The sequence below is a fragment of the Homo sapiens genome, chromosome 2 (assembly GCF_000001405.40).
Source record: "Homo sapiens chromosome 2, GRCh38.p14 Primary Assembly".
In the NCBI taxonomy this organism is placed as follows: Eukaryota; Metazoa; Chordata; class Mammalia; order Primates; family Hominidae; genus Homo; species Homo sapiens.
Window position 1 is genome coordinate 166,469,608 of NC_000002.12, and position 22,199 is coordinate 166,491,806.

The 22,199-nt window shown below is 33.9% G+C and overlaps 1 protein-coding gene across 9 annotated transcripts in view; it reads right to left on the reverse strand.

Annotated features, from left to right (window-relative positions):
* The window catches only part of SCN7A (sodium voltage-gated channel alpha subunit 7), a 90,677-nt gene that overhangs the window by 66,035 nt on the left and 2,443 nt on the right, over positions 1-22,199 (reverse strand). For 2 of the 9 annotated variants that reach the window (XM_017004667.2, XM_047445397.1), the window contains 7 exons: positions 17,979-18,022; positions 17,249-17,361; positions 7,856-8,103; positions 4,619-4,737; positions 4,192-4,281; positions 2,710-2,838; positions 1,008-1,099 (listed from right to left, as the gene is read on the reverse strand). In XM_017004667.2, the coding sequence (XP_016860156.1) occupies positions 1,008-1,099; positions 2,710-2,838; positions 4,192-4,281; positions 4,619-4,737; positions 7,856-8,089 (664 nt within the window). In that variant the 5' untranslated portion in view covers positions 8,090-8,103; positions 17,249-17,361; positions 17,979-18,022. Of the gene's footprint in view, positions 1-1,007; positions 1,100-2,709; positions 2,839-4,191; positions 4,282-4,618; positions 4,738-7,855; positions 8,104-11,992; positions 12,064-17,248; positions 17,365-17,897; positions 18,023-22,199 lie in introns of those variants that run through there. The other 7 variants (XM_006712682.4, XM_047445396.1, NM_002976.4 and 4 more) reach the window with 5 other exon arrangements.

Below are 22,199 nucleotides of genomic sequence, written 5' to 3' on the forward strand. Positions count from 1 at the left end.
ATGAATTCTTCTTGTATTATTACAACTTGAATTCATCTGATTTATTTAATAATTCTTACCTCTAGTCTTAGGATGAAGATGCATGTGAAATATGTGGGGAGTAGTAAGGGAGCTAGAGCTGTGAAAATTCCCACCAGGTTAACTCTCACTGATTCCTTCACTAGATTTGGTAAAGCTGCCATGCCACAGACAGTTTTTATTAAACAGCTTTACTGAGATATAATTCACAAGCCCCACAATTCAATAGCTTAATGTGTACAATGTGGTCTTCTTTCATAGACCAGAAAGAAGCCTGTAGGCTTTGTTTTTGCTTTTATTATATTCCTCCTTTGTTTTCTTGATACAGCTATTTCATAACACTTCTGAATTGCAGCTGAAACATTCTGGGTAGAGTTGTTCTTATCTAATTGTCCTTATTCATTCACAATAACAAACTAGAAGGTGTTGGTGTGTTTCTGTTAGAATGTCTTTAGAAATGGGAGCTGTAACTTAGTCTTCAGCATCTTCCATCAATGTGATAAAGTCACAACCACATTGATGGAAGATGAATTTTATGGCATGTGAATTGCACCCTATCCAAGCACTCAAAGCAAAGGGGAATTCATCTTATTTTATATTACTTTGTTCATGTCAACTGGTTTCTTGATAAAATGAGGAAAAGAAAGAGGCAGATTAGACATCTGTCTAGACCACTATTTCTCTCAGAAGTCTAAGAAGAATTTTATAAGTTCATATTTAATTTGTAAGAATTATAAATTAAAATATATTTCATTGATGTATATATTTTGGTTTTGTAAAAATTGAGCCTACACCAAATAAATAACAGTCAATGTACGTTTTTTCTTCTCTTTCCTGGAGTGACATAAATGTAAATTTCAGATAACTCACTGGTTTCAAAGTGGAAACATTATTCAATATTTCCTCTGAACAACAACAGGGAAGTTCAAGTGAATACATGGCAGTACATAAAACAAAATGAAGAAAAGACATTCAATGCAATTTCTTACCTTGATTTAAAGGAATAATTTTTAAAATTCTCAAAGTTCTTGCAGTTTGAAGCGTTGGAATGAAGTCCAGAGGTGAGTATCTTATAATAACCCTGTGGAATTAAATTAGAGTTACTTAAAAGTCATATTACATCTGTGCTACTTATTCTTGGCTTTTTATGGTTATTGAAACTTATTTTTAAAACCATATATGCAAACATTTCCCTTGATCACATGATTCCATATTGCAAACAGTTTTATTATTGATTAGAAGACAAAGATTGCTACAGTGGAAAGTGGCCAGGTAAATATTAATCTATATTATGAGAGTTTACAAAAGTTTGACACTGTGAATGCTCAATTTCTCATCAAATATTCTATACTATGTTCATAAATCTTTTATCTAATTACTGAAAAGATAGTTACAATGAAAAATGAATATCTAGTGTTTTAAGGAATAAGATTCATTTTAAGTATTTAAACTTACAGTGATGATGATGGTAATTATGGTGGTGATATGAGAATAAAGATGAAGAGAGGATGAGGATGAGGATGATGGTGATGAAGGTATAAGCAGACTGTGTGTTGTTTAAGGGCACAGACTCTGAAGCCAGACTGCTTGTGTAGAAATCCAGGCTCTACCATGAACTAACTGTGCAACATGAGCAAATTATTTAAATCTTTCTTGCCTCAGTTTCCTCAACTGTAAAGTGGGGTTAATAATACTTTCTGATTCAGAGGGTTTTTTGAGAGATTTAATGAATTAATTTATGTGAAGTACATAGAAGAGCACCTGGCACATAGGAAGGGCTCTGTAAGTGTTAGCTAACAGAAACAGCAAAACAGCAAAGATAATGGTAATAATAGTAAAAGTAGTGATGGTAATAATTACAGTGATATGAGACACTATGTTAGATTGCTTACAACATAGCAGACATCTTTATGCTGTTTATAAATGTTATTTTAAAAACTGACCCAAAATCTACAAATAGAAAATTACTTTAAATTATTTTTAACAAGAGTTTGATGCCAGTAATGATTTCCATAGCTAGAAAACAGAATACACTAAATAGAAGCATTTTAAAAAGAGACATGAAATTGTTAGAATTGTATGAAGCATTCCAGAAAATGTGGGGGGGGGGGTGGTGTTTAAGATATGTTATTCTGATCTCTAGCATATTTACTGGTCTTATGCAATGTAGCTACATGCAACGTAGATTGGGAATTGAGAATCAAATCTGCTAGGACCTTCTCCTAAGTATTCAAGGGATTTGCTCACTGATCACTAAAAGGCACACTTAAAATGCACAAATTCAATCTTTATCGTTCTTGCTCCAAATAGAAAGCAGAAAATAACCCACTCCTTTCATTCTTTTTTTATTATTATACTTTAAGTTTTAGGGTATATGTGCACAACGTGCAGGTTAGCTACATATGCATACATTTGCCATGTTGGTGTGCTGCACCCATCAACTCGTCATTTAACATTAGGTATATCTCCTAATGCTATCCCTCCCCCTCCCCCCACTCCTTTCATTCTTATTGCATCTTCTGAGGACTAGGTCAGAGGCAGCTGAGAGAGCTCACTATGACCATAACTTTGAAGTATTCTTCACTTGCAGACTATCTGCAGGCCAAAATCTTTGCAGACGTCAATTATTTTTTATGAAAAACATTTTCTGAGCAAAACATTAAAATAGACTCAATTTAAAGAAATACTCACTCAAACACAGTTACGCTGAAATCGAGCCAGTTCCATGGATCACCGAGGAAGGAAAATGATCCTGCCCAGACACCTCTTGCAAAGAGTTTTACAAGTATTTCAAATGTGTAAATTCCAAGCAAAGTATTCCTGCAGAAATTTTTTCATATAAATATTATTGGTGAGAATAATACATTGTCAACTCTGAAATACTATGTTTATGATAACTAGCTGGCATTTAAGAATAAGTCATCAGGAAGGTGAGACCAGGTCTACTTGGTAGGCCAAAACCAACCAACCACCAATAAATTAGACAACATTCAAGAAAGCAAGTGCTCCTTGAGCCCTAGCTCAATGCTTTAAACAGAATTTAAAGCCCTAGCTCAATGCTTTAAATAGGGTAGGCTGTGTCTTATAGCATTTGTCATGACATTTGACTTTTAAATTTTTTTATTACTGTAGCCATGTAGTATAATTTGAAGTCAGGTAACAAGATGCCTCCAGCTTTGTTTTTTTTGCTTAGGATTGCCTTAGCTATTTGGGCTCCTTTTTGGTTCCATATGAATTTTCTTTTACAGGAACATGGATGGAACTGGAGACCATTATCCTTAGCAAACACAGAAATGGAAAACTAAATACTGCATGTTCTTACTTAGAAGTGGGAGCTAAATGATGAGAACACATGGACACATAGAGGGGAGCAACAGACACTGGGGCCTTTTGGAGGTTAGAGGGTGGGAGGAGAGAGAGGATCATGAAAAAAATAACTAATGAGAACTAGGCTTAATACCTGCGTGATGAATAATCTGCACAACAAAACCCCATGACGCAAGTTTACCTATGGAACAAACCTGCACTTGTGCCTCTGAACTTGAAAGTTAAACAAAAAGTAAAAAAAAAAAGTTCAATAAATCCTAGCTGAGAGGTGATAGTCTTTATACATTATGTAGGTAAATGACAAAAACATCAAATATCAAATTTGCTCCCTATAGGGATTACACAATAATTAATAATCATCATTAAGGGCATGTGTAAGATCTAATTTTATTATATATATATTCAAGGATTTTTTATGGTGATATTGTTACAGTCACCTTCCAAAATCAACTAGTTTTAATAATAAAAACTCAAAAGGTAACTTCAAGAAAGCCTTTTCCCCCAGAAAATTTAATGGGCCTTTCCATCCTTACAGTCCAATGCAAGTCATACTACTGGTATGTCCTAGGAAAGAGAGGAATAGAACAGAAAGGGAGAAAGTGATTTTCTTAATGAATGGAAAGGAATGAAAGTTACCTGAGTTAGAAGCAAATCAGGAATGAGATTGCAATAGCAAAGAAAATAGATGTGAAGCACTGAAATATTATCTTAATCATTAACAAATATTAAATTTATTATAATATAAAATATAATGTATCATAATTCAATGTTATTAAAATAAAATGTAAAATATTAAAAATATACAATTATATATGATATTATGTATAAAATAATTATATAACATACTCTAATACTGGTCTCCATTTTGGCAAATTAGTCAGGGACATGAATACGCAATCAATCAGGACACTAATTAGAATAAACAGTTGGAAAAAGGTAGCTTATAGTCAAGGAATAATAGTTAATAAATAATATTGGAAAAGATATATTTCTATGATATATATTTCTTAAATGTTGAAAAATATTAATCTTATTGAACAACAATGGGCATTAATATTTGTTAATATTTACTATTGTTGTGTATATTAGAAAATATACTTTATATGTATTTTCAAATGTGGAACACTTAATGAAGTATAATCTAGATTTCAATATGACCCAACATGAGATATAAATTGAAAAGAGAAAAATACTGCAGAAATAATTGAATAATAGTATAGTTGCAGTTAATGTCAGCACAGTTTAAAGTCAACAAGTCAACAGAAAAGGATATGGATGTACCAAAACCTTGATAGTTGTTCTTCTAATACAATTGAAAGGAGACAATGTACACAAGATGGAAGCCGCATTGAATCTGAAGATTGTTCTATTTTTATTTAATACTATGAAAGTCTGTAAGAAGAAAAGCGATCAAGTGAAATTAGAACTCAGAACCATAATCTCATCAATTATGCAATAAACTGCCAATCAATCATCATTATAGTCTTGGACTCTAAAAGCCATACTCTTCTTTTTTTATATATTTTTATAGACTAAGTCAAATGGAAAGATTTTAGATGTTTTTATTCATATTTAGGCTTGCCTATTTATCTACCATTTTTGTTTTTTTGAGTTTTTTGCTACTGCTACACCCGAGAAAGTTGTTTGTCTCAAGCCAACCCCTGGTCTCCTTAGAGAACGAACAGAATAGGAAGAACACAATATCCCAATGGCTCACGAAGATCCATTTAAAAATGCCAGAGCTGGTGTATCTGAGAACGTTAATGAATGTTAAAAGTTCGATTTTATTTCAGAGCAAATCAAATGTGGGATTAGGATAGCAAAGAAGATCCAATGAATTGAAATAGTACATTAATTCTTAACAATTGTCTATGAAATAAAACCAAACTTGCATGATATCATTAACATACATATATCTAAACCAGAAATTTATATCATGTAAACCTAATACATTGAGATATTAAAGCATTAAAATTCTAACAAAAAATAATGAAATATCAGAAATATTCTGAAATTAAAATTGAGTCATATATCTATGTGTACATGCTTGTGTATGTACATGAATGTGTGTGTGTGTATATATATATATACCTGTAAATGAGCAAGTTTGCATATTTTTATATTTGTGTATATATATATACACATATATATGTATATATATATATATACATATATATATATATATACACACACACACATTCAGTGAAAGTGTGTATATATATCCACCATATATCCATTTGGAAAAAAAATCTTATTGTGGGGTATAAATACAAATGTGAATATTTTATAGCTTACAGTCTAAAAGAGTGTATTTTATAATTTATAACATATAACATACTGAAACACAATAAATTATAGTATACTAAAATTATATATTAAATATCTATTAGATACTACGGTATTATATGTTATACAGAGGTGATTATTTCTATTTATATTTGTATATATACAGAAAAATAGACTACTTAGTACAAATATACATTCAACAATATTTCATGAATAAGTGTTCTAAATGGAAACCAAATTGTGATATAATTCTTAATAAAATAATATTTTTCTAACACACAATCTGTGAACACTTTGACCTACACTATAGCTATTTTCCCTCTATTTTAAATGCAAACAGAAAATAAAAATTAAAAAGAGCCAAAGTAAATCTGATTTTTTAAAATGTGCTTTTCATGCTATTTTCCAGAACAATCTCAAACTTCACACAAGATGTAATATATGCCATTGTGATGAAATGACTAATTTTAGGTATAATAATCTCCCAATTTAAGAGCTGAAACTGTTTTGTTAATTATAAAAGTATTTATTTTATGCCACTTTTAACAGAATAAACCAAATACAAGTCAAATAAATTGTCGTTTGTAACAGCACTTTTCTACCAAGCTATCCGTGCAGTTCTTGCTCCAGATGTTTCATGGGAACTAGACCAAGAGTAACTCTGGGCCTTGGTTTATTTTGCAAAATCTTTGGTTTTGTCTTCAATAACAGAACTAGCACTTTGCCAGCCATGTCTGTACATGCAGCAGGGTACTCAGAACTCTGCAGTATTACACCTATCCCTACAGTTACTGTGCCATATCAATTATTATGACATAAACATAGCAAAAACTGAATGTAGAGGTAATTGAGATGAGGGCCTAACTTATACTTTCATTAAAATGCTCTCAAGATTAAGCATGTATATTATAACAATGCTGCATAATGCCCATGGAGGCTACCCGAGATACTGCAGTCATTTAAGTTAATATATACATTTCTACTGTAAAATGTCAATAATCTTCCACCATGACAAGTATTCCAAATAACTGTAATTTATTAAAAAAAAAATCACTTTGTCTTCCATCCAGAGAATGTGGTGCAATTCCTTGTCACCCATTTGATAATATCATTGAATGCTCTACAAGAATATCAAATTACGTTTGCTATGAAGCTAATCATCACCTCCCTCGAATTTGATATTCTTTCTAGTTATTTCATTTTGTCAGTGGCATCACCATTCCTCTAAGCTGAAAACCTTGGCATTTTTAGTCAGTCAGGTCATGCTGTTTCTTCTCAGCTTTGTTCTCTCTGTCTCCTTGCGACTTCAGTCCCGGATTACTCTCTGTGTTATTTCATCTTTCTAGGCCTGTCTCTTCCATGCAATCATCATTTAGAAATCTGCTGGGTTAATGCTACTTAAACATTATATTCATTGCATCAGTCCTTTGATCACCATATTAAATCCATGTTGATATCTCCATTATCTCACCTCATATCTCGTAACTTGCAACAGCTAAGTTTCCAGTTATAGCATCACTTTCTCTTTTCCTCCTTCCAGAATCATTCTCTGCTCTTGCCTACACATAGGTCTTCTCTTTCCCTTATTAAAACTTTGAAGTGCTCTTTAAGCTATAACTCAAATTCTGCATCCTTAATGATTCTTTCAGCTTCATTGGTTCATACCAATCTCTGATTTCTAAATGCAATTATTTTTATATTTAGCATTTTGTGCTTGTTCTGGGATTGGACATATAGTAGTAGGTGCCTAAAGTCATTCTGGAGATAAGGAGTAAGTGTATGTATGTATGAATGAATAAAAATGATAAATAACATACGGGTTGTATTTACTTTTCTAACTTCTGAGTAAGTTCATCATATTGAACATTTTAAATTGTTGAGCATGTTCTGGGCATTTTATAGGCATTTTAAAATTGATAACCACAAATGGACAATCATCATGTTCCCTTAAAATATTTCACTTACATTAAGGCATACTAATACATATATTATGAAGTAGAGTAATCCAAAATATACTGCCTAACCAGGTAAGATATCAGTTTTGACAAAAATCTCCAATATGTGTGTTCCCAAAATGAGATATCTTATGTCGTTCTGTAAAATTTAAAATCAGATCTTTCCCTGTTTTTCATTATCTTTTTGTATCCTATCTCAATTACATTTTCTGTATGTCTGGAAATAAAATAATAAAAATGTCATCAAAATAATCTCAATTAATACTCACATTTTTTTTCTTGTAGTAATATGGGTCCACATCTTCCAAGGGCTCTGACACCATTCCTTGAGAAAGGTTTCCATAAATAAATGGAAGCTTTTTGCCAACTTCCAAATCAGGAGTTGGCTTTAAGTCTTCTTCTTCATGGTCTTCATTATGTGTTTTAGCAATATGCTGTTTTATAAGTTCAAAAGACTCTTTAGTGAAGGGAACAAGGCCCTTAGGTTCTGGTGAAGCCAACATTTCCAATTTTGTACCTGCAAAAAATTCTGTATTAAAGTTGGGTATACTAATAAAACATAAAAGTACAAAAGATTAGGATACGAAAAATAGAGACCAGTAAACTGAATGTATGCATTTAAAGAACATATTCCTTAGTTTTGTAGAAATCTAAGTTGTCCTGAGTTTTATTGTACTTAATATCAGACTTAATTTGTAATTTCATGAGTAACTCAGTCTGCTTCACTTATTCATCGTTTTAACATTCTTTTACTGAAATCTACCTTTCAACTTCTCCATTATAATAAAAGAGATATTTTTTAGAAAGATCTTTTTTGCTAGAGATACTTTTTTCTGGCCAAATCCAATTATTTCCCTGTGAGACATATTTAACAACTGACTACACTTTTCTTCTTTAAACTTACTCATCATTGGCCCTGCACCCTACTCTTCCATGTCTCTTTTTGTATCTCTGATTACTTTTTTCAAATCAATTACAGTATCGGTCAAATATTAACCCAAATTTACATCAGGTATATCTCACACCAACATGGCACATGTATACATGTATACATATGTAACAAACCTACACGTTGTGCACGTATACCCTAGAACTTAAAGTATAATAAAAAATATATATAATATATATAAAAAGAAAAAAAAATTAACCCAAATTTTAACTCTGATATCTCTTAAGGGTTTGCCTTCTTCCTCTGTTATATCTATCATTCTGATGAATGCACAGGCAAACAGAGTTTTAATTACTCTTTGCATTCAAATATTTATCAAGTACATGTGAATATTTCCCAAATGCTTTCTTCCCCCAGCTGTCTATATAGTAAATTCACCAATGGCAGCAACTTAACAGGTAAAAACAAAATTATCTTTCTGCATGACTAGAATTACTCTTTAACCTGTGAGCTACTGTAAAAATAAAAACTCAAACTAATTATCTTGAAAATTACTGATGGCATTTTTCTCTCTGTCATCAATCCTTATACAAAAAATAATTTTCTTTCAATAATTTTCTATGATTCTTGAATACTATTTATTTATATATGTCCTTGAACGTAATCATCTTTGTAATTCTATCTTTGGGGTACTCTAGTAGTCTTCACATATTTCAACTCTAGTCTTTACCTATTTCAAGTTATCCTATAGGCAACTCAAAGTAGTGTTCATTAAATATAATTTCATGCATCAATTCCCCATTCATGAACCTGGTTCTTTTTTCACACATACAAATATTTTATTTTACTAATTTGTTCCAGTCCAATTCCTGTCAAAATTTACTCTTCCAATGATTCTATTCAATGTCAAAAGATTGATTTTTCTTTATTTGTTCATCTAAACACTCTTTGTAATTTTATTATTGCAATTAAAGATAATAAATTTTGGTTTTGATATTGTGGCATTTTGCATCTGTGTATTTTCTCTCACAATGCTGGCACTAGCTGAATTACTTCTATAAGATTTTCCCAAGACAGAAATCACCTACACATATATATACTCACACATATGTTCTACTTCAGAATTTTTCACTGTTGTGCATAAGTGAGTTGTTTAATACTTTAACACATTACTTGTCTATTAATTAAAAGTAAGCATAAGATAAGTATTTAATATTATTGGGACACCATTCATTGCAAGAATCAGACTTCAACTGCTAGCATAAGTAAATGACGGGCAGGATATATTTTAAATATACAAAACGCAATCTTATAGACATTCAAGGGGAGGATACATGGTACATTTCTGTGTTATAAATGTTCTGTGGAAAATAAAAATGAGAAGTAAAGATGAAAATAAAATATTGGGATGACTACTTATGCCTTTTGTGGAATCAAGTTTTCTGGGTTTTGCTTTGCTTTTCATGTCTGCCGCATTCTACTTAAAGAATGGCTTCCTTTTCTTACATCTAAGAATACACATAGACTAAAAATATTGACAGTCTTAACTTTATTTGGTTTTTCAGTTTAAGTTCTGACCACATACCTATGACATATGTCTCAAAAAAAAGGTAAACAGAAATATACTTTGACTGAGCCCAGCCTCTGGATTCATTTACAAGAACCAGTCACAAATGACTGGTTCAGTCATTTGTAATCAAAGACAGGGATATTTTTGCAATAGCAGTGGTTTCTTATGCCCAAGTCCCTCAAGAAATGTTTCAGAGATAGGGTACAAGGAAATTTTAAAGGGAAGAATATGTGCTAGGAAGATCAAAATGTATCTACTTAGAGCTGTCTTCCCAGACTAATGGTATAAAAACTCACCTTAAAATTTACTTATTTCCAAATATCTGAGACATTACAAATTTGCTAAGATTATTTATAGATACCATATGCACACATATACAAACATGCATATGGTCACATTTCACATGTTAAACTTTATTAAGGGGAGCCAAGATGCTCTGAATAAGTACAATTTATGAGTATAAGCTACAGATAACCAAGTTTTCTCTTACATATGAAATTTTTTCCTTTAAAATAGCCTTTCAGGCCGCGCAGGGTGGCTCATGCCTGTAATCCCAGCACTTTGGGAGGCTGAGGCGGGCAGATCACGAGGTCTGGAGATCTAGACCATCCTGACTAACACGGTGAAACCCCGTCTCTGCTAAAAATACAAAAACATTAGCCTGGCGTGGTGGCGGGCGCCTGTAGTCCCAGCTACTCGAGAGGCTGAGGCAGGAGAATGGCATGAGCCCGGGAGGCGGAGCTTGCAGTGAGCCGAGATCGCACCACTGCACTCCAGCCTGGGTGAAAGAGCGAGACTCCGTCTCAAAAAAAAAAAACAAAAAAACAAAAAAACAAAAAAAAAACAGCCTTTCAAAATATTTTTACACAGAGATCCTTGAATATATATTAAATAATTTATAAATAACTTATTGATTCTCTTTATAAACATTCCTTACTATATTATGATAAAATATAGTGATGCTCCCAAAGGCAACTGCTGAATGATCCTGTTATACTTTTAGACTTTTGTTTCCTGCCTTAGCAATCAACTGTGACTTGACATTGTCTTGGTATTTTGAATCTCCTCCTTCTATGTGGAAAGAGAATATCGAAATTTTCTGGGTGAAGGACTAAAGATTGTTTAACTTCTTCGAAGAAAAAATTCATGGGCTTTGTGACAGTAACTGGTTGCTCAGGGACTTTTTTCTTTTTACGTGAACCAATCCTATTCATGCTCTACTTTCTCACCATAAGCCTTGACTATTTAATAAGGAAAAATGAAGTAAAATATATGTATTTGAACGTTAGTAAGTCATTTGTAAAATGTCTCACAAGAAGAAAAAATACGTGCTAGATAGCATTAAAATAAGATAGGCCTATAAGGACTCCAGGTTTTTGTCTAAAGGCTGGTGGCCAATGGATACGACATATCCAAGTTATCTATATTCGATATGACTTATTCAACATATCAACAATTTAGGTTGTGATAGAGAAACAACCTAGTAGAAACAAATAAAATCATGATCTTTGAACTTAGACCTACAGTCAAATCCTGAACTCTGTGACTAATGTTCTAAGAAACCTCAGTCAAATTATTTAATATCCCTGAACATATTTTCTCAGTCATAAAATTGGGATTCCTCTTCCAGTTAAATAAGAATAAATCAAAATAATATGAGTAAAAATACCTAGTACAGTGATTGGCACATAATACATGGAAAATAAATATAAATTTTTAACTGTGATAAAATTTGCTGTATTAGAATGGTGAGTCAAATTTACTACAAAAAAATATAATAGAAATACTTGTAAAACTTCAAAATTTGGACTAAAATACCCATCGGCACAAGTACAGTAGAGAAGAGATGTGTTTTTGAAACAGAGAAAATTGTCAAGGGATTTTACTTAATAGTAACTGCAATACAAATCAATACTAATTTGTGTCTGCCAAGAACACTAATATAACCTGTATCTGTGTTGATAGAAGATGCAGGAGGCAGTCCGTCTCTACTGTGCTGTAATCCAAGAACACCACACCTGAAAGGCATGTCAACAAACTGAAGGGTCTTCAAATGGAACCAGAAGGTTGATTAAGTAAAATAAAACAATTTACAGACAAGCTAAAAGAATGGAGAATGTATAGTTGAGGTGGAAAAAACTCAAGTACAATCTTACTATTTCCAAGTATCCGAATGGTTCTAATGTGGAAGAGAAATTAGACTTCCATGTTGTTCAAAAAGGATGAACTAGAATCAATGAGGTGAAGCCAGAAGAGATTTGGCTTGAGAAAGTAAAGATCTTTCTAATAGCTGTCAAAAATGAAATGGGTTGGTTTGGACATCAGACCTTCCCCTTAACTACCAATGTGGACGCACATACTCCTTTACAGGCAGTGGGATGATCCGAATATTGGTTGTTAATTTCAACATCTTACAATTTTGGAACATTTCTAAGGTTAAGATCATTGGTTGAATTTGTTGCACAATTTCACATGATATAAAAGTCTGACTGAAATATTAGCTAACTAAAACTATGCAGCATTGAATTAACAAAATCAGTATATTTTTGATATTTTTAGGGATCCATTCTGATTGCCAAAAGTATTACTAAACTAAGTTAAAAATATTAACCTTAAAAGAATACAAAAAAAGAGGTTATAAACTTCTTGCATGGATGCTGCCATCAATGAAAATGGTTTAAACACCTTCCATCAAAACTGCAAGACCCAATTTGCTAGCCTGTCTTCCTATTGCATAGTCCTAGTATAATATCCCTTTTCTTTTTCTTTTACTACTCCATAAGAAAATAATCTTGGACTCTTCATTTTGCCACCCCCCAGCTATGAGACCTCAGTAACATCACCTGACCTTTCCTCATATATAAAATTTGGAATCCCTCATATATCTCACAAGGTTTTAAAGATTAAATCAAACCACAAAGAAATCCTGGACCACAGCACTGGTTTCATCAGTACTGGTTTCATCAGTACTGATTCTGTCATCCAACCCAGTCACTTATCCCAGAAGATTATTTTAGTGATAATTTTGATGTTGAATCAAACTACCCTGGGTTGTTGACTAGATGAATGAATGAATGAATAGACAGCAGGCATTGCCTTCTGCGATACTGCAAAAAAAAAAAAATGCAAGCACTTATCAAATAGAAGTGGCATGCATCTGACTTCTAGATGGTTGAGTGCAGACTGTTAAATTATTAATCATTAAATCATAATTCAGCAAAATCATTTCTGTGGGGAATTTATGTAATATGGTCCACGCACTACGCTTTCTGGTGAGCCATCTTAATACAGCACTAAAGTCCGAAAAAATATAGAAAGATTAATAGTTAATCCATCCATTAGACTTCTTTCTGAAAAATTGAATAGCTAAAGTAAGCTTTTGGCAATAATTCTATCAAAGTCAATTGTATCAAGTCCAGATTTGGACACTAACAAATTCATTGTACCAATATTTTATATTGTTGACTGAAGTGGAATCCATTTCTGTTGAATGTCAGTTGAAATTTGCAGGAGCAGCAGAAGTATATGGAAATGGGGTGAATTTTTATAGAAAAAAAATTTCTCCTTGAAACGAATTTCAAATTTGAGTATGAGCCAAAATTTATTTTAATCCTTATGGCAATTATGATTATGGCCATGCTTACCAAGTACCATTTTTGAAGAAGTGGACTAGACGTTTCTAATTAAATTATTTTACTTTCTCACATATCTTCCTGCCTTCTAGTTACTCGGATAGTGTGGGGTTTGTGTATGTTTGTTATATTTATTTGCGTAGTTTTGTGTACATATTATGTTGTATTTGTTTTTCTTGTTGTACTGCATTGTTTGTGGAACACCTATAAGAAGGTTTGGAAGTGGGCAGTTCTCATTATCCCTGGCTCCATGCACTACTTGCATTAAGATAAATTCTAGATGGCTCAACTATTTAAATACAAAATAAAATTTAAATTTAAAACAACAAAACTTATAAAATCAATAATAAATAAATTTATCTTTAATAATTTAAAATAGAAATCTTAGTTTAATGAAGGAAAGTGCTGGTTAGGGTATGAAAAAACACTCAAACTTTTTTGATCATATAAAACAGTATAATTATTCTAAGAGGAAAGCTGGTACTGTTTATAAATAAAAACGTTTACACTTTATCCTAGCAATTCAAGCAACAGAGACTTGACTCTTGGGTACAAATGTCAAACCAATTTAGGTACTCAAATCTGTTCACAGTAGTGTAATTTTTATACCTAAGAGAAGAAGTCAACATATATCTCAGGTGCAGCCACTAAAAAAGATTATAGTACATCCTTAAAAGGAACTACTATTATTTTTTGTTATTCTGTAACTATATTGAATTTTAAGGTTAAATACATATAGAATGATTTAAAAATAGAAACAAGTGTTAACTGGGAAATAATGTGTCTCTTGATATCTTAATAATTTTTTTAACACTAATAGCTTGTTTCTAACTTTGTACATAGATAATGGGTTCTCACAGTGAAGGCTATAAAATCTGGCTTGTATGACTGACTGTCATTCATATAAAGAATATGGACTATGGGGAAAGCATCAGCTTAGAAATTAGGGAAAGATGTCTTTTATTTTTTGGTGGGTTTGAGGCACATCTGAAACAACTAAAAGAACAATTCAGAGACTGGAAATATAAATCTGGAGGTAAATATACATAATTAAACTGTATGTATGTGTACATGTTTTATATGCAAATATAAATAGATATATTTATGTACCTATGAGTGTGTATATAAATGTATATATAGTATATGGTTATATAAATATATAAATAGCTGAAACTCAGAGAAATAAAAGGATTATGTGTATTTGCAAAATGTGTGAAATTCTTTATGGAATGATTACAAGGGGAGCATATTGAAAAGCACCTACCTATTATGATTTATGATTTAAAAATCTAATCTTGAAGGCTAAAGATTTTATATGTCATCACTAATACATGTTTTAAGTCACATGGCTCAAATACTATTAAGGTATATCACAGTCAAATCTTGAAAACAATTTGGAAAAAATGACACATTATAAATTAGGAAATAATGATTAAGCATGATCACTGCCTTCTTAGCAGAAAATAAAAAGGAAACCAGAAGACAGTATAACAGTATCTTAAAGGTGTCAAAGGGAAAAGAAATTTAAGACTAGAATTCTACATACAGCAAAAATACTCTTCAAGAATGAAGACAAAATAAATATATTTTCACATATCTCAGATGGACATGTCTATGTTTAAGAAGGAATGAAGAGGATGAAAAGTAATAAATATATGGGAATATATCTTTTAAAGCATAAGTACCCAAAACTGGGAAGAATCCATCAAAATGAGAATAGATTTATAAAAATAAAAATGGAAGTCTATTTATCCAATAGAATACAATTAGCAAAATAATCAATGAACTACTAATACACATAACAATGACTGAGTGACAAAAACATTGTGCTGAGTGAAAGAAGTCTGACATGAAAGATTACAAACTATATGATCCAATTTATATAAAGTGCTAGAAGACAGCAAGCTAATCTTACCTTGTTAATCTCTCAAAATGATTAGTTTCAAGAGGAACAGAGATTGGAATTAAAATCATCTCAAACACTGGTGGATCTGGTTCTACAGATTATGTGTTAAATTTTCCAATAATATGGGACAACTAATATCTCTCTTGTTGAGGGAAGGAACAGTCTAAGACATTAAGCTTCAGAATGAGAGTCAACAGAGTCAACAGACACGATAGGATTAGAAGTCCACAAACAGTGCCAGATAACCAAAGCAAATCACTCTGTCACATCTGATTGCAAATATACTAAGATCAATGAGCATAAGGAAGGCTTAATGGCAGTTGAAACACTAGAAAAGGACACGAATCACTGGGAATAAGATCTTTTTGAGGGTCTCCTGCCTCACTGAGAAATGTGACTATGACAGTGATAAAGGCAATAGAAAGGGAGGTTTCTAGGAATAAAAAGTAAAGCTGGTTCTGCCTGAAATGTTCCTGCTTTGAAGCTTCCAATACAACGAACATCTTTGATTCCCTACCAGTAACTCTGGGAAAGTGGTCGAGCCCCACATTCTAAAGAACTCAATGTTCCCAGTTTCTCCAGATGTTCTCGAAACTTCCACTGCTTTGCAAAATAAGCCTCTAGAATTCTAAATTATCCTTTGTTATCTCATCAAAAAGAGCAAGTTGTAAAGGAGCCAGGATTGTCCTGGAATTCTATTTCTAGTGGATCCAGTCTGTTAAATCCTTGACCAAAAATTCCTGGCTAGTGGCCACATTAGGATTCAACAAGTGAAGAAAAGTAGCCTGTGCTGCTTCTCAGCGGAATACAAAGGAGGCTGTATGATGCAACCAGATTATAACTTGCCCTTCATCCTGAGGTCTTTGATACTAATTGTTCCCCTAAGATGCAAGACCTGATCTCTCAACCTCTGTTTAAAAAGTTCCAGAATTAGGACATCCCTGGGACTCTTCGGGACCTCTCAGAACTAGCTGACCTCCTTGAGTATCCTCTTAATCTGTGGTTAGACTTAATCTGTAGATTTCCTTGACCCTTCATTGTTGCCAGCTTCTCCTCAGCAGTGGAACTAAGCTCATAGATCCACAAATGATACCCTAAATCAGTGAATAGACAGAAGAGTTCTGAACCAGTGTCATATAAGGTCACTCATAAACCCCTAGCACCAAGTCTGGCTCCATGTTAGATTCAGATAGACACAAAACCTTCAACAATGTACCAGACCCTGGAAGGTTGACCAGATATAACAGTGTCAAATCTGCAGTTCCCAAGTCCTGGAGCTTCTACGAGTACAGAGAAGATGAGAGGATGACCTCTGGTTAACACGCTGGTACTGAGAGCTATAGATAAAGAAAATCTTGGTACAGGTGATTTCGATCATACAAGCTCTGGAGTGCATATCAGAAATCTCCTGGGGCTAATACTGAAAATCTAGGAGCCAGTGGCCCAATCCAGACAGACTATTTCAGAATAGCTTGTGCTGCAGCCTTTGAGATGAATCTGATGCAGACTGCTAGGCAGAAAGATGCCTTGGCTGATAGCTAAGCTTCACCCAACCAACTTTATAAAGCAAGCAGACACATCATTACATTTTCTTGTTTGTTTTTTCTCATCTGATAGCCTGAGTATGAGAGATAGAGCATATACAGGAGTTGCTGAGGCAAATACCTGTTGAACAACAGCACTTCTCCAGAAGATCCACACTCTTTTCATATCTTTGGGCACTAGTTTTCCCTCAGCTCTAATGACCTGGCCATGTTGGCATTCACATGGTGGAGGACCTGTTGCAAAACAGTTCTAAAGCTTGAAATCAGACAAACACAACTGGGACATTCACTTTTGCATGTGGCTCCCACCCACCTCCAGGATAACAACTTTCTTTTTTCTTCCACTCTGTCCTCTCCTTTCCAACCCATCCAATCTCATGTTTAAGTAATGTTTCCTAAAGTTCTAGGTTACTTGGAGGCAGTTTGGGTTTATGCCTGTTGTTGAGGATTAACTATTAATTACATCCTTTTTCCTTTTCAGAAACATCCTGAGTTGGATGATAAATTACATGGCCACTCAATCAGTGAGCGAATGCTGTCTCTAGAGAGCCCAGTTCCCATGCAAGAGGCTGCATCAACAGCATTTTGAAACAGCAACTGCAGCTGCATTTTCTTAGATAATGAAGGATGGGGAAGAAAAGGAATGCCAGAAGTCAGTATTTTTCTTCTTCCCTACTCACAATTCCCAATTGTTTCCCCTGTCCCTCAGTTTTATTTCTAGAGCACAGCCTGCCAGCAATGCACTCAAGCTGTGGAGAGAGATTCTCCACCTGTAGGAGATGACTGCCCAGGCCAGTCACAGCCTCTTCATTTCCATTTATTCCCATCTTAGGGAATTGAAAATACAGCACCTAAAGAATCAATCTCTGTGCTTTCTGAGAAACTGGAGTTGATCCTAGGGGAGACAAAACAAATGTTAGATTAGCTTTGCCAAATAGAATTGTCGAATGTTCTATTCTATATTAAATATATATTCCTAATGCATTCCAAAAAGATTGAGGTTCACATTCAAGAATGTAGACCATAGAGCAAGATAATATAAATTAAGAAAAATGAAACAAAAAAGTAAGGACAGTGGATCAATAGACTGAGGATAATATTGCAAATGCCAATTTCATTCCGTGTGCAGCAGGAAATAAGGATAAAATGACTTCTCACTTAGTTGTTTTCAAGCTATTTTGAAACAATTATGCTGTACATCAGACATGGACAACGTAACATGTCTATTGCACCAATGACATTTAGATAGGTGTAAAAACAAAGCAGTGATGATAATAAGACTAAGTTAACTTGGGATCAGAAGGTACCATCGGCATAAGCAAAGATACAGAGTTAATGTGACCATTGTACATAATCTGTATTGTTGAGAATGTAGGACTCATACCTGCTGATCAATTTAGCAATTTAGTGACCAACTTATATTGACATTTTTATTGGTTTGGGCAACTTGACTGCACTTAATAGATATATCATGGCTTATATTTCATCTTTCTCACATTCCATAATGACTTACAGCTAAATTCTCTAATGCAGGGCCTTTTCCCTTAGAGCTTTCTGACTAGAATGCTTTCCCCTCCAGGGTTTACAACCCAAATGATATTAAATGCATTGCTTTTTTTAATTTTTATGGAAGGCTATGAAAATTTTATCATTGACTTCTAGGAAGCAGAAACCTATGAGGAAGATGACTGAAGCTAACGAAATTCTAAAGGATAGACATAAAGTTGCCTAAATCAATAATTTTAATAGTCTAACTCTGTAGAGACATAATTGAGATTCATCTCAATGAATATGACCATTTACAGGCTGGGATATGGAGGCAAAGGCTACCCACACACAGTGCAGGTGAGAATATAACTTAGTGCAGTTTTTTAAAAAAGCTACTTGTCAACAGTTTCTTTTTTTTTTTTTATTTTTTTTTGAGACGGAGTCTCACTCTGTTGCCCAGGCTGGAGAGCAGCGGTGTAACCTTGGCTCACTGCAACCTACGCCTCCCTGAGTCAAGGGATTCTCCTGCTTCAGCCTCCCAAGTAGCTAGGATTACAGGTGCATGCTACTACACCTGGCTAATTTTTGTATTGTTAGTAGAGCTGGGGTTTCACCATGTTGGCCAGGCTGGTTTCAAATTCCTGACCTCAGGTGATCTGCCCACCTCAGCCTCCCAAAGTGCTGAGACTACAGGTGTGAGCCACTGCGCCCGACCAACAGTCTCTTAAATAAAGTTTCATGTACTCTTTGGCCCAGCAATTAAGCTTTATAGAAATTATTGCTGAAGTTTGAGAAGTCATATTTGCAAGGATGTTTATCATAACATAATACTTTTAATTCCAAAGAGTAGAAATAAAATGTCTACCCTAAGGGACTAATAACAAAAATTCTAGTATATTGCTATCATGGAATACCTAGTTAGTTACAAAAAGGAATGAGATGGATATGTCTGTGCTCATACGGAAAGTTTCACCAAATCAGTTACTAAGTGAAAATGTAAAGTTGAGAACAACTTGCATCATTCACCTTTGAATAAAATGTTGTATAATGATTATATACATAAAGTTGTATACGTTAGCATGTGCATAATGTTTTCCCCTCTGGACATGAGTGAAGTGTTACATCTATGGAAAGAGTCCAAAAAGGTGTCAGAGGATTCTGTTGCTTTCCAGTTAATATTTCTATATTACTTGAACATAACGCACCATGTGTATGTATTACCAAAGCCCAGATATGGAAAATTTGCACACTGAAGTTTGAGGAATAAAGGACAGCTTGACTAAAATGACATCAATCCACTTGAAATTTTGCAACCATCTGTGTGAATAAACGTTCTTTAAATACCTCTTGACTTCAACCCACTTGGATTTTGCTTTTGGATTATTTTTTCACTTGGGTTGGTTACTTCCAATTTGGCGTTGATGATCTGATGCCTACTTTTTTACCTGTCTGTGGCAAACAGTTTATCTAGGCTGCTTAATTGACTTTTGCTACTTTCTCCTTGGATTCTGACTGCAGCTATGTTCTGCTTCCAGGTCAGTCCAGTTTGGCTTCAGGTTCTATTCTTCAATACGTCCACTTAATTCTGGACTCAACTTTCTCACTCTGACAATTTCAGCCAACAAATTCCTAGAATATGTTATCTTGCAAAAGAAAGTGGTAAGTAAGCAACTTTCTCAAAAGCATAAATATGCACTGCCATTTTAAAAAATATTTTGTCTCTAATTGATAAATAGTAATTATATATATTTAGGGGATACAAGTTGATGTTATTTTATATATATAAAATATATATATGTACGTATACACAAACATTGTGGAATGATTATATCAAGCTAATTAATATATCCATTATCTCACAGACTTATTTCTTTGTAGTGGAAACATTTAAAATCTATTCCTTTAGCATTTTGAAATATACAACACATTATTATTTAACTATCACCATCATGATGTGCAATAGAACACTTATACTTATGCCTCCTCTCTAACTGAAATTTTGCACACTTTGACCAACATCTTTCCTTTCCCCATTCACCCCCTCATCCCCAGCCTCTGGAAAGTACCATTCTACTCTCTACCTCCAAAAATTTGTCTTTCTTAGATTTCACATTTCTATGAGATCATGCAGTATTTGTCTTTCAATGCCTGGAATATTTCACTTGGCATAATGTCTTCCAGGTTCACTCATGTTGTCACAAATGATGTCTATTCAAAAGAGCTGAAATTAGTTTGTCAAAGAGATATCTGCTCTCCCATGTTTCCTGCAGTATTATTTACAAGAGCCAAGATATGGAAGAAACCTAAGTATCCATCAACATATGAATAGATAAAGAAAATGTGGTATATATACACAATGGAACGCTATTCGGACTTTTAAAAAAGGAGGCTGTCATTTGCACTGCTATTTTATTTGGATTATAATTCTTAAAATTTTTGACCCAGGCATTTTCTGAATTAAAAAAATCTAGAACTGGCACATTTACTGAAACCCTGGAGGCTTCTTAGAACTGGCTATTTACCTCTGCTTCTGACAATTCTGAAAATGTCTGTCTGTTTTTCCAGGATTCCAACCTGCCCTCCCTGCAACTCTCCCAAAAGCTCCTTTAGCTTTTCAAATGTGAAACCAAACATATAGATGTCCATCCCCTTCTCAAATTAGAGAGAAACTAGAAAGGTGCCTTGAAACATCTTAGGGTGAGCATGATTTAGTTTTTGTCTCACTCTGAGTTGGGCAAAAAATGTCCAACATGGAGCCCCAGGGCCAGAGAAAGAGAGTAGATATGGGCAAGAGCCTGTAATCAAGTGCTTAGACCATGTCGCCTCTGGGAGAACTCAGAGAGTGAGCAGCTGGTGGACTGGAAGCCTCACCTTAGCATTTAAAATAGGAAAGACAGACTACTCTACTCAGCACAATATATTCACCTAGGGTCTATGGCCCCCAAATCAGCATCACCTCCTGTTCTAGTTTAACACCAAATGCCCTATCATAATATCAGACCTTTCTAATCATAATTTCCATGAGTGGGGCCCCAGCTTCTGCATTTCTATCAAGCTCTTTGATGTCTAGGCAGTCAGTGTGGCACCTGACCCACACCATCATCAGAGCCGTCCATTGAGCTGGTTATCCTTGTCCAGCACCAGGCTGAGTCAATCCAATTATAAATACTGCAGAGACAACAGGGATATCTGTTTGCTAGGAATTTCAGGATGGAATATAAGAAGATGGCGCCTCATTTGTAATAAACAATAATTGAACAAATGAATGTAAAATAATAATCTTAGCTGGGTCAAGAGATATGCACCAACTCAAAAATAACCTCTGAAGCCCTCAGATGAAATCTTATCTTTAACTTCAAAGGCTCCTTCTTTCAATGTTGCTGCAATGAGACCTCACTTGTCTGGTTGGTTAGTCCTCACTAACAGAAGAGAAGGAACCAACGCAGGAAAAGAAAAGTGACATCTGTTTGTACAAGATTTTCTCATGTGATAATGGGTGACTGTGCATTGCTGATATCTGGAGTGGGGGTGGGGGTGGGCAGAGGTTATAGATGTTCTTCTCACACTGACAAATACTGAAAATG